Raw genomic sequence first — 15,686 nt, 5'->3', positions numbered from 1 at the left:
CATGCATTAGGTCACTTAATCCTCGAAACACCACTGCACAGTGCTTACCACTACCACCTACATCTAATACATGTGAGGTTACATCAGTAGCCCAAATCCTAGAACACCTAGGTTGATTCTAGAGTTCAGACACTTAATACAGTATAATGCCTCTCTTCTAATGACCTTAACATATACCCTGATAACAAGAAAAATTCATGGTTAGTTTTCTCATTATTGTTAATCTTTCAAAATGTTTAGTACTCAGTTTATAGAAACTCTATTCAAATCCAAGTTTACTTTCAGAATTAGTCCAGTTGTGTTTTTATCATTTCTTCCCCACCTACATATATCCCAAACATATCATTACTGTATCATTTCAGATAATCACATCTTGGTTTCTCAATATTTTCATATGTTTTACTGATTGTCACCACTTTAATAATCATCACATACATCTTTATTCTCAACGAATGGCAATACCAGCAAGGCCCTTCCCTCATTCTTAGCCTTCACATGTAAAAGATAAAGAAATCTTAAAATTCTCCCTATTTAATTTGTGCTTTTCATTTCAACTGCCATTGCCTGAGTTCAAGCTCTCATTATTCCATACCAGGATTGTGGCTATATCAGTACCATGAGAGCAATTACATCTTTTCATATTCCTGTGTCCTGTTACCTAGCACAGACCACACACAAACATTTCCAGGATGAAGAAATGATACCAAAATTTTGCTGTTTTATATTCAGATATCCTTTTTAGTGTTCAAGTTCTAACTACTTTTCAAATTTTAAGAGTTTTGTTTTAATCTGTCCTTAACATGGCAAATTTATACTATTTATATGCAATCTTAAAAGTACAAAGAAACTAATCAAAACAATCATTGTTCTGTAACCCCAAACAATACAGGATAGAAGTTTTCAAAGTCAATCAATTCCCTACCAAATAATAAAGAAAATATTATACCAATATGAAACAAGTAGATGCCCAAGTTTATGATAGACAGGCTGCTTATTGATGACACTGATTTTGGACTTGGGAAAAGCAGTGTTCTATGGCAGACAAAACAAGATTTCAAGAAATCCCCAATTTATTTGTAAGCTACCTTGTTGTAAATCCTGGGTTTATTAAGACATAAAATATGTTTTCTGGCTGGGCGCAGTGGCTCCCGCCTGTAATCCCAGCACTTTGGGAGGCTGAGGCAGGAAGATTGCTTGAGCCCAGGAGTTCAAGACCAGCCTGGGCAACACAGTGAAACCTTGTCTCTAAGATAAAACAAAACAAAAATTACTTAAATATATATGTATTTTTTCCCAATGAAATGATTAACTGAATTTATCTCAAAAGCTAGTAGCTGAAAAACTCAACCTCAACATCCCTAAAGTAAAGGCACGTGATCTCAAAAACTAAGGTACTTTTCCGCCCAAACTGAAATCAAAAGAAAACATAGTCTCATTAACTTACAAAATAAATTTAGGTCACCTACTTATAAACAGGAACTGAAATGAGTGGAAGAGTTCAAGCAGTATAACCTTTGACTGCTTCATAGCCCATTTCATGTGTGACAATTCTGAGGGGTTAGGATGAGGAAGATTCTGTTATTAGCCATTTTACTCCCGGAGACACTGCTCTCTCAAATTGGGCTGAAAGTAGATCATCACCTTGAGCTTTCCTTTAATCTTTATCAGAAACAGCTCAATGTTCCTGGAATATGGATAGCACTGAGAAGCAGATTTCTCCTCGATTTCCATATTACATACTTTGGCTATTTCAGCAAGAATCTTAAGAGATATGGAGATTGAACACCTATGAGTAGATATCAAATTATCCATAAGTCCTTTGAAGCAGTAATTTTAACAGAGTAGATCCTAACATGAAACTCTTTTTAGATAAACCATAGACAAACGTTTCTGTCTAATCTGAATAATTCTTCCCTAACAACCCCATCTTTCATTTTGTTCTTCTAAGCACTAGTTCCTATCAAATACTAAAATATATTATTTATAAAAGAAAGTGCCTGCATTTTTAAAACTCAGAGAGGCCTTATTATTTAAAGAAATGTTAAACGTTGGAAAAATATCAGCTAAACAAAATGTATTGTTTTCAGACTGTCCTGTAACCCTTTCTGTAATTATTTACTAACATTCTAAGAAATGTGGTATATCCCAAACCATAAAAAGCCTATGAAATATTTGGTACACAACAGGCCCTAAATATACCCTTACAGAGTGAAATAAAGAGGAAACTTCAAAACAAAACAAAGAGTCATAAATTGGCTTTTACTAAACCGATCTAGTTGAACTTATACATTAAGTTTTCCCTACCTAAAACATAAAGATATGCCCTATATTATCAAATCACACTGCTAAATTAAAACTTTAATATGTAATCTGAATCACTTCACAACTCCACTGAATACAAATATGTACTAACCTTTTGAGAAAAACTACCTTTAAATAGATTTCTGTACAAACTATCAAAGACAGATGTGTAGATCGTAATTTTAAAGCATTATTATTTTCACTCACAAAATATGATCATATTCAGGCAAAAATCAAGTGTTAACCTGGGTATTGAAAAAGGAGACTTTGAATATCATTAAATTTTGATTTAATATCATTTGTTATTCAGAAGAATGAAAGTGAAAGTAGTGTACATCAAGACTCCTGAAGTTCGTGATCCTTCAACAATAAGAAGGCCGCAATGGTCAAAGGAACAAAGACTTTAAGGAAAGATAACTTACTGAATTGGCCCCTCTCCCCATAATCCCTCTAAAACAAACGCCAGCTCAACACCCAATTTGACACCAACTTCTCAAGACTGCTGACAAACAACAACCCTATGCTAACTAACTCAGAAGCTATGACGAGCCTAAGCTGATTTGCAAACCCAGGAAAATGAAACAGAAAGAGAACTTACAACTCGTGTTCCATCATCAACATGTATTATTATAAGAGAGACAGTGGAGTGTACTGTGAATAACATTATGAATCTAAACTACTAACTATAGCAACCAGGCTGGGATCCTACAGGCTGAAAACACAATCCTTGAAAAGACATTTGTCTGTCTTACAAAACCTTTGACAATATGGGTATTCATGATGGCCTAGACCCAAGAGATGCCTTTCAAAGCTATTAGTCAAAATTAAATCCCATTTTAAAAACATCAGAAAATCAGAATTATATTCACATAAAACTCCAAGAAGTCTCACTACAATTTAATCATCATGTCCAAAGGAAGCAGTTTACCAATCTAATCTGTTCATGTATTTAACAGGACGACTAGTATCATCAACAGCTAGACCTTGCCAATATTTATCAAGTCTACTACTCTGGCAGATCCTATAGAACAATTTCTAACAACTTGAAATTGATAACTAGGCAAATTTAATGACAAAATTATTACTGACTCATTCAAAATATAACACTTTTTACTTAAATAAATCAGTTAACTCTATTCATAATCATTTATAACACATCTCCATGGATTCAAACAAGAAAACCTGACCAGCCAAATAAACAATTTGATGGTCTAAATATAACTTCAATGTTCTTTCATGTCTGTAGTTTCATGAATGCATGAGAAACTTAAAGTCTTCAATAATTTAATCGTTTATCCTTCACACAAGACTGAACTCCTTCAAGAACAGGATTATTTTTCTTATGTGTAATCACAAAAACCACAGAGTGCCTGCTCTATCAGATGTCACACATTTGTTACCTTTACTCCTCCCAACAATCCTATGAAGTGAACCTTATAACTTCATAGACAAAGAAACAGATTCTAAAAAGCAAGCATATGCTCAAAGCCAATGTGATCATCTCAATTATTTTTCGGCAAATATTTATTTCAGTCCCCTTCTCTCTGTAAATGAAGTGACTTGGTATCACTAACGCAGGGTTTCTCAACCTCAGCACTACTGACATTTGGGTCCAGGTAATTCTTTGTTGGGGGGCTGGAGGTGCACGGAGGCTGACTGCCCTGTGCATTACAGGATGTTTAACAGTATCCCTGGACTCCACCCACTAGATGCCAATAGTACCCCCTCTCCCAAGTTTAGACACCAAAAGTATCTCTAGTATTGCCAAATGTCCCCATAGGTAAAACTGCCACCAGGTGAGAATCACTGGGCTAATGGAAAGCAACAAGAGCAGACGCCTTATACCTGCTTATGCAGTTTGGCTTGGATCTTGCATTCCAGTGGCCTGCCATAAGAGCATGCCCTAAGCAGCCACTGCCCGCTTTAGCCTGGGCCCAGCAGGAACATAAATGGAGAAGATCTAAACCCACCCAGTTAGCCTCAATCAAGCTAGGCTTCACCCTAACCAGTAGACCCTCAGCCAACATACAGACCCATGAGCACAGAAATAAATGATTATTATTTTTAAGCCACCCAGTTTTAGAGTGTTTTATCATGGAGCATTATTGTGGCAACTGTTGACAAATACAGCCAATAAGAGGATAAGCCAGAATTCAAAACCTAGGCCTGACTAAGAAACCTATTGTCTTTACTATATCAAAGAGTTTTTTTCAAAAGAATTAAATATTCTTACCTAGGATGTGCTTGGTACACAGTAGAGATGCAATAGAAGTCTGCTTTATTAATAAATATTAATTCTGTGAAAATTTTAATACATTTTCAGTGGCCTATTCATATTAGCCTCTCATTCTCACATCATGAGGCCAAACTTCAAAAACGTTGCAAAGGGCTACAGACTATAGCACTACTTCATTTCTCAGACCTTGAGTCTGAGACTTTCTTCTCATATCAGTTTCAGAGATCTGCACTGCCAAGTCCAAAACACATCTCTAACTTAACACTGACTTCTGTAAGTAAGGTGCTATGTGCAAATGCAAAAGACAACAGGTTTAAAGAAAAAGAAAAGTTTAACAATATTTGAAAGAATGAGTTTCATACAAATATGTGCAACAAATACTTATTGTGAATACACCATTTATCAGACACTATTCTAAGCACTAGAAATACAGCACTGAAAGACAAAAAGATTCCTGCCCTCATAGAGCTTGTGACACATAGCATAAAGATGTTTTCCAACTGCTTCACTCATATTAACTCTTTAGTCTTCATAATCTTGTGAGAGGTTTAATATCTCCATTACAGAAATGAGAAAAGCGAACACCAGGAATGAAAAGTAATTTGCTTAAAGTCACAAAACATCATCACTTCCTGGCCTTTTGGTTAAGATCAAGTGTAGTACCAAAGTCACAAAACAAGCAGCAAAACTAGCTAGAAGTCTGAATCTGAGTTCCTACTTTTGACCACGGCATGACACTGCCCCTGTGCTAACTCTCTAACCTCACATCTTACAACACTTCCCAAGCACATTCCTGCCTGAGTCAGCTGTACTTGCTGTTCACTCTGCCTAGAATGTTTTTCTCCCAGATGGTTTTCATGCCTTCCTCCCATCATTCTGTTCCTGTCTCTCCATTCCCATCATATTGTAACAGATTTCTTCCCTGATTACCCTTAAAAATGAATACCTCCTTCCATACACAGTCACTATTCATCTGTCTACCCCACTTTATGTTTCTCCATAACACTGATTACAGCTATAGATTCATTTGTGTACTGTTTGTCTTTGTCACTGAAATGTCCACTCCACAAGACCAGTGACACTGTTTAATTCATCACTTCACCACTTACTGTTTCAGGCCTCCTGAAACGATGCCTGGCAAAATGACCAGGTACATGATCACCTACCTGTCAGCCTGGCTGACCCTGTCCCCTCTCCAAAAAAAAAAAAAAAAATTAGAGGAGTGATTCTCATACTTCAGCATGCATCGGAATTATCTACAGGGCTTAACAGGCAAATTGCTAGGCCTCGCCCTTACCCCAGAGTTTCTGATTCAATAAGTATGGAAAGGGGCTTGAACATTTACAGTTCCCAGAAAGCGTAGATACTATGGTCCAAGGACTGTGTTTTGAGAATCACCGATCAAGACAAATGCCATGCTCCAACACACCAGTCGGTAATAGTAGTTCACCGTGGCAAGAAGTCACAACTGGAGGAGGAAGGAAAGGAATATAGTGAACAGGTGCCCTCTAGACTCAAGTCCTGACTTAGAAGACTGTATGAAACCCATGTCTTTTAAAGAATGCATAAATACCCCTTCCTTGAATAGGATTTCTTTTTTTAAGAGATGGAACCAGACAGATTAACATTATATTCTCTATCAAGGTCTTGTGGTCTTACATATTCTATGTTAATGCCCACTGCAGAAACATTATCCCTTAACGTTTAAATAAGCAAAACAGACAGTTGCTATCCTTTCCAGGATAGTGAAAAACCTAACAGCAGTAGACCCCAATTGGAACAGCTGCCCAAATCACAATTTCCCATCTCTAGGAATAATCCTAATACCTAGGGTAGGCTCACAGTGGTCCTGTCTAGGTAATGGTAGATAACCTCACTTCCCCAGTCAGAAAGGCCCAAAACACATTCACTCTTCTAAGAATCTGAATTTTAAAGATAAAGTCTGGGAGGCACCAATGCCAAGTTATGTCAGCAAGGCTCTCAACCGAGAAGCTCCACAAACTCCTGCTGCTCAAGTTCTCAGATGCCCTGATTCCTAGCCTAACATGGCACTTTGTTTTCCAACTATTCCTTTAATCCTCTGTGTTACTCAATAATCTTCCAACCAACTCCTCTTTTCCTACATTATCCAAGACTATTTGTGTATTTGCAACCAAAAATACCTATAAAACCAGAGTAAATGTATATAACCTTTAAAAAAAAGTATCAGATCAATTTTTGCAAATTGTAATGTAACTGTAAAATATCAAAGCTTTTTCCTATTAATTCAACTTAAGACATTTCTCATCTACAGACTAGTATTCTGTCCATATAACTAAAGAATCATAGAGCACATCATATTTTTGATATTATAATAACTCCTTTTTTCATCTGCTTTCATAAAAGTCCTCTGAAACTTAGCAAAAAGCCATCATCTTTTCTTGGTTCATTCAACAAGTATTGTTACCTATTATGTGCCAATATTATGAGGGATACAGCAGTGAATAACAAAGACAAGGTTCTTATTTTATGTACACCTTATATTCTTCAGGGGAGACAGAGAGAGAGAAAATAAACCAGAAAAATGCCCGATTATAAGTGCTATTGCAAAGAAAAAAAAAGACAACGTGAAACAGTGAGTAGCTAGATAGATGGCTTTTAAATAAAAAGGTCAGGGGAAGCCTCTCTGAAGTGACATTTGAGCTAAATTCTTAATGACAAGAAGCAGCCAGCCAGTAGAGATCAGAGCACAACTAACATGGGGTCCCTAAGACTGGGAATAGACTTGACTTATTCTAAAAGCCAAAAGAGGGTCAATGTGACTACAGTGTGGTAAAGAAGAGGGAAAATCATTTAAGATGAGGCCAGAGAAATAGAATGGACCGTATCATATAGGGCTTTGTAACAAAAAGCAAAGAATCTGGATTTATTTAGAAATTAACAGATATAGGACAAGGAGGCTATTCACAACAAGATGCTTATAGAGAATAGTTCAACAATGGACTAAGATGGGGGAAAATCAGATTACAATCAGTGGTTTCAATAAAAATTTTAGAGCTGAAAGGAAACTTATGGTCCAACACCTTCATTTTACAGAAAGAATGCTGTGGCCCAAGCTGTGGCTTCTTGAAGGTCAGATTAAAGATGAGCAATGTTGTGCTTGGTGCTCTGTGTCAGTCAGGCCATAGTGCTTTCCACAATTCCTCATCCAGTTTTGAAACCCAAGAGTCTATACCATGTGCATTTCCAAAGTGACATAGCAGCAATCAAATGCAAACATATTTAGAGAGAAATTTTTTAAATTATCATGCCAAATTATTCACACTTCAGTTGATGACTGCATTTTTTTAAAGTGGCTAATAATGCTTAAGTATTTACCACCAAATATATCTCTTCCCAACATATGTGAAGCAGAACAAAATTGAATAAAACAACAAAATATACTTACATCTGGGTATTCTTTTACAGGCACATAAAGTTTCTCTTGTAACTGAACAATAGGTCCCACAGCATCAGGCAATTCTGCACTCCTTTTCTCTGTACTGCCATTTAATGTGTCATTGTACATGTCTTTCCGTACTCTGCTAATTTCTGTTAAAAGTAAAAATTTTAAATGTGTTAGACAAAAAAAATATTCTTGCTAGTCCAGAGGAAAAAAGAGAGGGCAGGGGAGGGTTTCATTGATAAAGCATTAAAACTCAAATAAGGAGCTCCTGGCCTATTCTATCATTCTCTGGATTAAGCCCATGTTTAAACAAGACTATAGCCTTAATTAATTTCTACTACAAACCAATTTTTATACGAATCAAATAACATATCTTATTAAATTAACTTCAAAGCCCGAGCTCCTTCCTAACCGGTATAATATGGACTTGTTAGTTCATCTAATTTTTCCAAGTCTAAACGAGGCCAGTCATTCCAAATCATAGCTTCAGTAAACAACTATAAGAATGCCTGTCAGACAAAACTAATACCAAAGCCTCTTTTGTACTTCAGAACTAATTTGTCCGAAGGATATTTAAACGGGACCACTTCCATTATTTTTAGATATCTTTGGAATATCCAAACAGAGATGTTCAAAAGACAACAGACTGCAAGTTCAGCAGAAGTCTGAGTTTCATATACAAATTTAATGGTTAAAGCTATCAGAAGAGATGTCTTAGAGCAAGTAATGGGAGAAAGAAGGACGGAATCCACTTGAGAAAAAGGAAGGGGTAAGGAAAAGAAGATCCAAACCAAGAAGAAATGGAGGTAGGCAGGAGAACTAGAGAAGAGAGGTGTTATAGAAGCTAAGAAATGACAGATTCAAGGACAGGGTGACCAACAGTATCGAATACTACAAAAGAATGTAAGATAAACAGCAAAAGATGGTACCTTGGATTTGACCACTAAGCCACTGGTGATCAGAGAAGTTTCAAGGGAAAGAGGGTAACAGATCAAGCTACACTGGGTTAATGATTGAAATATTAAATATAAAAAAGGAAGTAGCAATACCTAAAATCAATGACCTGTTTTTAAAGACCTGTATTACTGTTCTTGGATATACATAGACATTTTTTTTAAAAGTAGGAGAATTCTATTTTAATGAGCCGAGTCCCATAAAGAAAATGGATCTTTTCAAAAATTATTAAGCTTCTAGTATGCACCAGAAGACAGGCTCCTGTCCTTTGGAACATACTGCCCAATAAGGGTTGTCATTATTAAGGTTAGCCAGATGCAGATGTAATGTCTCTCTATCCTACAGACTGTGTCCTCCTTGGGAGAAAGGCTTGCATCCATTAGTATTTAAAAATAAAATGTATTTTTTAAATGTATTTTGTATGCTTTCCAAACATGGGGAAGTTCAATTTATTGATAGTTCCTTAGGAACTATCAAATATGAAGGCACTCTTTAATTTTTCTAACTAGTTATTTAAATCAGTTTCGGTTAAATAAAATCCAACACAGCAAAAAGGCAGGATCAAAGGTACTCTTACTCAGTTATAAAATCTTAATCAATTAAAAAAGGCACTGTAATACATTTTCTGCTTCAGTGATACCAATATTCATATTACAAATTTTATCTCTTAAATAACAATTTGTTTGTCAAAGCTTACGAAATGCTTTTCTCTGAATAGCAAATAAAATCAACAAAAATCTAGAGATTACCTTGGATTTGACTACATGATAAGGGCAGAATTTTATTATTTCCTAAGGTTCTTTTTATACTTCTAGCTTCATAATTAAATCTTTCCTAATAATGTCCAGTATCAACTTGGTGTTTATCTTAAATTAGCATATGACAGCAATTCTCAAATCAAGTTTTCAACAACCAAGCAACAATTTAAACTCCTTTACATCATTTACATAATTACAGCAAGTAATTAACCAAGGGACATTAGAAAAATTTAATCTAATTAAAATCACACATACATCCTTTAGCCAGGTCTCTGGACTAAAAAAGCACTTTCCATATAATTATTATTTAAATATCTTCTTCGGAAACTACCTATTCTTACTGCAGTTAGCACCACACTAATATCAAAGCCTGAGAATAGCAGCATGAAAGAAAACTATAGATAAAATTTGCTTAAAAATATAGATGCAAACATCTGAAATAAATAGAAAAAGAAAAATGCACTAAGATATAGTAGAATTTATACCCTGAGTGCAAGAATAGTTCAATATTGAAAAATCTACTATTATAAGTAACCATAGTAATATAATAAATCTAGGGAAGAAAAAATACTGATTTTCCAGATAAACAAATTTATCAAACTTAGAAAAAAAAAAAACAAAAGAATCTATTGCAAGTTATCAGAAAATTCAGATAAAATGACTAGATTAAAAAATTAAATAAACGTGCCGGGCGCAGTGGCTCATGCCTGTAATCCCAGCACTTTGGGAGGCCAAGGCAGGCAGACCACTTGAGGTCAGGAGTTCAAGAGCAGCCTAGCCAACATAGTGAAACCCCGTCTCTACTAAAAATACAAAAATTAGCTGGGCATGGTGGCAGACGCCTGTAATCCCAGCTACTCAGGAGGCTGAGGCAGGAGAATCGCTTGTACTCAGGAGGCGGAGATTTCAGTGAGCCGAGATGGTGCCATTGCACTCCAGCCCGGGCAACAAGAGCAAAAAACTGTCTAAAAAAATAAATAAAAAGAAAATGTATAAAACAAACAGTCCTCATATATAAGCATCTATCTGGTTAGATGATACAAGCCATTTACCACTTAAGTTGTATTTTTATAAATACCTATGTGATTCCTTGATTAATAACACAAAATTCCATGAGATTCTGTTACCCAGTGTGTCCGCAGGTCCTTGAACAGTGCCTGGAACACAGCTGGCCCTCAATAAATACTTGGTGGGGGTAAACAAAGGCAAGAAAGAGCTAGGTTTCTGGAGCATTAAAGTTAAACAAGTCATGGTTCCAGCTCTCAAATAACTTATTCTAATAAGGAAGACAGATAAGAAGTCTTTCTACCACGATTTTTTTCAGTCTCTAAGATATATCACTCAATTTCATAACAGAACACAAATTAATGTATAAGATAGTAATGATGGGAATGAAAAGGTAACTAAGACATAGTTCCAGTCCTCAAGGACTTAAAAATCTTACTCACTGTTGAGTTTGGCCAACTATGTACTACCTTTATAAACAGGGGAAAAAAGTAGAAAATCATCAGCATTCTGGTGTTATTCAGAACACTCGAGTCAGAGCAAGTTCTGATTCCAGTTCTAACAGTAACTGTGATTTTAGACAAGTCTCTTTCTTACAACCTCTCTGTGTCTGTGCTTCATATACTTATTCAATGAATGAACTAAATCCACTGGTTTCCAATCTTACTATGCAAGAGCCCCATTTATTCTTTTTCTCCATAATCCTGTTTTTAAAAGTTTTGTCTTTAAAACTTTCCATTTGTAAGTCGTGGCAATCAGAGCTTCTGGGAATGTTATCCTAGCAGGAGGATACAATTATAGCCAAACTACTATGGAAACATGCAACGAGTACGGGTTTGGGAAATGCTTTAGTCCTTTTGTAAGTAATAGCTTCACAGGTGTTCTCATGAAACATAGGAATGCTTCATAACTAATATGCTGTACACACTATTTTGCTGTATCAAACATTACAACACTCAAATGCCCCACCACCAACTGCACTACCTTCAACAACCCGCAGCAGTTGTTCAGAGAACTGAAGTTCAGAACCGTTTGCTTAATCACGCATAGTACAAAAAATCTCCCAACATGAACCCCAGGCATGTATTTTCTATCTAAATATCCCCAGTATCAAGAGAAATTTTTAGACATCTCTAAAGATCTTAAATATTATAAATTTGTTTTAATAAACCAAAATCTGCTCTCCTAAAATTTCTACCATTGGCCACAACTCAGCAGCCCCATAAACATTGGAAAAATTCTAAAATATCTAAGTGTCCTCTTCCCTAAACCAATGACATGGTTTTATACCCTCCCACTTGTTTAGATGCACTCTGATCTGTCTAGGTCCCTTTTAATATGCAAAACCCTATACTGTACACAACATTCCATAATGATCAATGGATAAGCCAACTGAAGCTATCAAATTCTAGTCCCAAACTCTGCCCCATCCATAATCACTGTTTAAGAGGTGATGATGTTTAAGAATATCTTTACTTCCTTGGCAAACACAGCACACTGCTGACATTTTGCTAATGGTGTTAAGACAAGTCTCTACCATTCCATAATTCCACAACTGTTTGTTTAGACACCAACAGAAGATTTCAATTTTTTTCCTGGTTATTTTCTGCTACACATATCCCTTCAGCAGACTGATATTAATCTATCAGCTGATATTCTTTATTCTTTAAGGATGAATAGTCTCCGAGTCAAGAATCCAACCGTAATTTTATAGAGCACAGATTTCTTTGGCCCAGATCCCAAAATACAGGCACATCTTTATCTACTACTTGATGAAATCCCAAGCTACAATGGGACCAGAACCTCCTTCTGGAGCCACCAGTTTAAATAGGAAATAATCTGCTTAGGAATCTACAGGTTATGCCATCAAATTTAGCATATACATTTTTCAGCTTTGGGGAGTATTTGCCTTTACAGCATTTAGGCTCCTCCCATTTCCTACAATTTTTTGAATTTACTTTTTTTTTTTCGAATTTCACTACGCTGAAAACTATTTTTTGTTTAGGCCTGAAAACCTGTTACTACTTACTGCCTCGTCACATTTCTCTGCTTTAATTATCTTGATTTTTTTTCTTTTCCAAACTAAGGCTCAACTGTCAGTTAATTCTGCTCCGATGTCACTGCACAGTTCTGTTTTATGTGACCTTTATTCTTTTTTCTTTCCCCTTAATTCACCCAACTATGGATTTCACTAAAAGGTTTTAAAGTAATTCTTAGGTTTCATGTTTCAACAGCCTCAGCTCATGTTTGTCTTTGGCTTTTCCATTACCACTACTCTTTTACTGTATCCAAATTATTGTACGTGCACTCTGCTACTTTTGTACATATCCTTTTAATATCTGAATTACTGGGCCGGTTGTGGTGGATCACGCCTGTAATCCCAACAATTTGGGAGGCCGAGGTGGGCAGATCACTTGAAGTTAGGAGTTCAAGACCAGCCTGGCCAACATGGCAAAACCCCATCTCTACTAAAAATACAAAAATTGGCCAGGTGTGGTGGCAGGCACCTGTCATCCCAGCTACTCGGGAGGCTGAGGCAGGAGAATTGCTTAAACTCGGGAGACAGAGGCTGCAGTAAGCTGAGATCATGCCACTGCACTACAGTCTGGGTGACAGGGTGAGACTCCATCTCAAAAAAGAAATACATATATATATACACATATATACATATATATGTGTGTGTATATATATGTTATACATATATGTTATACACACATATGTTAAATCCAATTACATATATATGAATTATTGGATTTAACTAACAGATCAATCACTGGAAAACTAGAACACTGGAATTAAGAACAGGAAAAACTGTTAAGAGAATAAAAAAATATGGGGTGAGAAATCTAAATTACAGCATTGAGCAGTCATTTCATAAAATATATAAATACATAGCTAAGGCTGTGTATAAAATCAATACTGCAATGTTGGAAAGCCAAAGAATCAAATACAGCTCTATATTACTTTCTGGTTTAGAAATTTTTCAGCAAATTTAAACTAAGAAAATCAAAATTAGGAAATGAAACACAAAAACTATTTACTAACTCAATCATAAGCAACAAAATATTAATGAAAAGTAAAATTCAAAGCCAAAATGCACCAAAGAATTACTTTCAGGATTTGTAAAAAAACAAAACAGTTTTAAAACACTGAAGAAAAACTCACATAAAATGCATCTTATACTTAGTGTTGTGGTAGCTGATTCAATTGCTCAACTTGCAATGCTGATGTTATAGACATATATATTTTTTCACTGGGTATCTATCTGCTGTTTCTTTGTACATTTGAATCCATCAACAAAATCTGCCTTATCATTGTACTAGAGCAGGAGCTAATAAAGGAATGAAAAGGTCACTGTGTCATTTGACCATAACTGTGCTTTTTAACATTTTCCATTAACTTATGGAAAATCTTAGTTGTCAGTAAAACGACAAGTATATATAAACACATACATAATTTGATATACATAAAATACATTTTATGAGGTAAGTTAAAATGACTGCTTTCATCTGAAGCTTAAATAGGCTCCAGTATTTCCACACTGTCTGCAATCCCTACCTCTTGCTAGACATTAAAGTAGCTCACTAACACAAACAGCAAAGTAAGATTTAGTTATTTTAGGTCTTAATAACAAATTACTCGTTTTTATTTAGATAATACTCATTAAATCTTAAAACAATAATATTAGTAATCTATTTAAAACTGAAGAACTGTCACTTCATAAAGAGGTGGCTGGTGTGTAACCTTATGAATTTAGGGTTAACAACAATCTCTTCTGTAAAAAGAAATAAACTTTAATTAAGGCTTGACTAAATACAGAGAAAGTTTTAAAGTTATTTTTGAGCTGAGAACCACCCATGGAATTTAACTTCACTGTGCTCTTTTTAAGAGGCCAAGTTCACAAGGTACAGAGAGCAACTAGATTAAAAAGCAAGTTACTAGAGTATTATTTATTTACTTATTTATTTTTGAGATGGAGTTTCACTCTTTTCACCAAGGCTGGAGTGCAATGGCACAATCTTAGCTCACTGCAACCTCCGCCTCCTGGGTTCAAGCGATTCTCCTGCCTCGGCCTCCCCGAGTAGCTGGGATTACAGGTGCCCGCCACCATGGTCAGCTAATTTATTATTATTTTTTTTTTTAGTAGACACGGGGTTTCACCATGTCGGCCAGGCTGGTCTCGAACTCCTGACCTCAGGTGATCCACCCGCCTTGGCCTCACAAAGTGCTGGGATTACAGGCGTGAGCCACTGCGCCTAGCCTAGAGTACAGACTATTAAGTGAAATATGTTTGCTTACTCTAACAACCAAATAAATCTGATTTAATTTCAAAGTAACTGCTTTCAAACTGGCAAGAAAAAAAAAAAAAAAACCCAAGCTATTAGTAATTCCCTAGATGGAACCTTATTCCAAGGGTTAAATTGTACTCTGTACTTCACAATCCTAAGTCCAAAAACAAAAACTACAAAATTAAATTAATCATAACTCCTCTTTGTACTACCAAAACTAACAATTGTCCACAACTGGCGATAAATTTCACATGCAAAAATACAAAACAGCAAAAACTTTGTAACAATGTTAATTCGATTTTCCTGATTGTTCTCAGCAGCAGTTCTGTATTACAGAAGTACCTAACAGTAAGTTGCACACACGTTCCTGGGGTTATAGAAAAGAACCTCTACTGTATGATCAAATTTATATTTAAGTATACATTTTTTTGGTAGACACAACAAAGTCAAAAAAGATACAACTATTAACAGTAATCATCTCTGGGAGATGAATTTACGAGGACTATTTCGCTTTCATGTTATTATATAAATTTTTCTTACAATAATCACCTATTAGGAGAGTAGAAAGCAGAAAAGCTTACATCAAAACACTGCAAGCATGGGACTGCCTATATAAAAACAGTAGCATAATAAAGATGTTATAATTCATTGCCTCCCAACTCTAAAAATAAAGCGATCTAGTTATTTTTTACATGACTCAACTGGTCTTCACCAGAATC

The 15,686-nt window shown here is 35.6% G+C and overlaps 1 protein-coding gene across 9 annotated transcripts in view, besides 1 other annotated feature; it reads right to left on the bottom strand.

The window, feature by feature from the left end:
* Positions 1-15,686, bottom strand: part of QKI (QKI, KH domain containing RNA binding) — a 163,875-nt gene that overhangs the window by 115,207 nt on the left and 32,982 nt on the right. For all 9 annotated transcript variants that reach the window (NM_206855.3, NM_206854.3, NM_206853.3 and 6 more), the window contains exon 2: positions 7,965-8,107. In NM_206855.3, the coding sequence (NP_996737.1) occupies positions 7,965-8,107 (143 nt within the window). The remainder of the gene's footprint in view (positions 1-7,964; positions 8,108-15,686) is intronic.
* Positions 2,775-3,004: an enhancer, noted in NCBI's record as "active region_25419". NCBI's record gives its function as "activates an Ori minimal core promoter by ATAC-STARR-seq in GM12878 lymphoblastoid cells {active_cell/tissue: GM12878}" and the evidence as "EXISTENCE:reporter gene assay evidence [ECO:0000049][PMID:35858748]".

This window comes from Homo sapiens, chromosome 6 (genome assembly GCF_000001405.40).
Source record: "Homo sapiens chromosome 6, GRCh38.p14 Primary Assembly".
In the NCBI taxonomy this organism is placed as follows: Eukaryota; Metazoa; Chordata; class Mammalia; order Primates; family Hominidae; genus Homo; species Homo sapiens.
The sequence above is the reverse complement of the archived record's forward strand: the minus strand, read 5'-3'. Positions and strand labels throughout refer to the sequence as shown.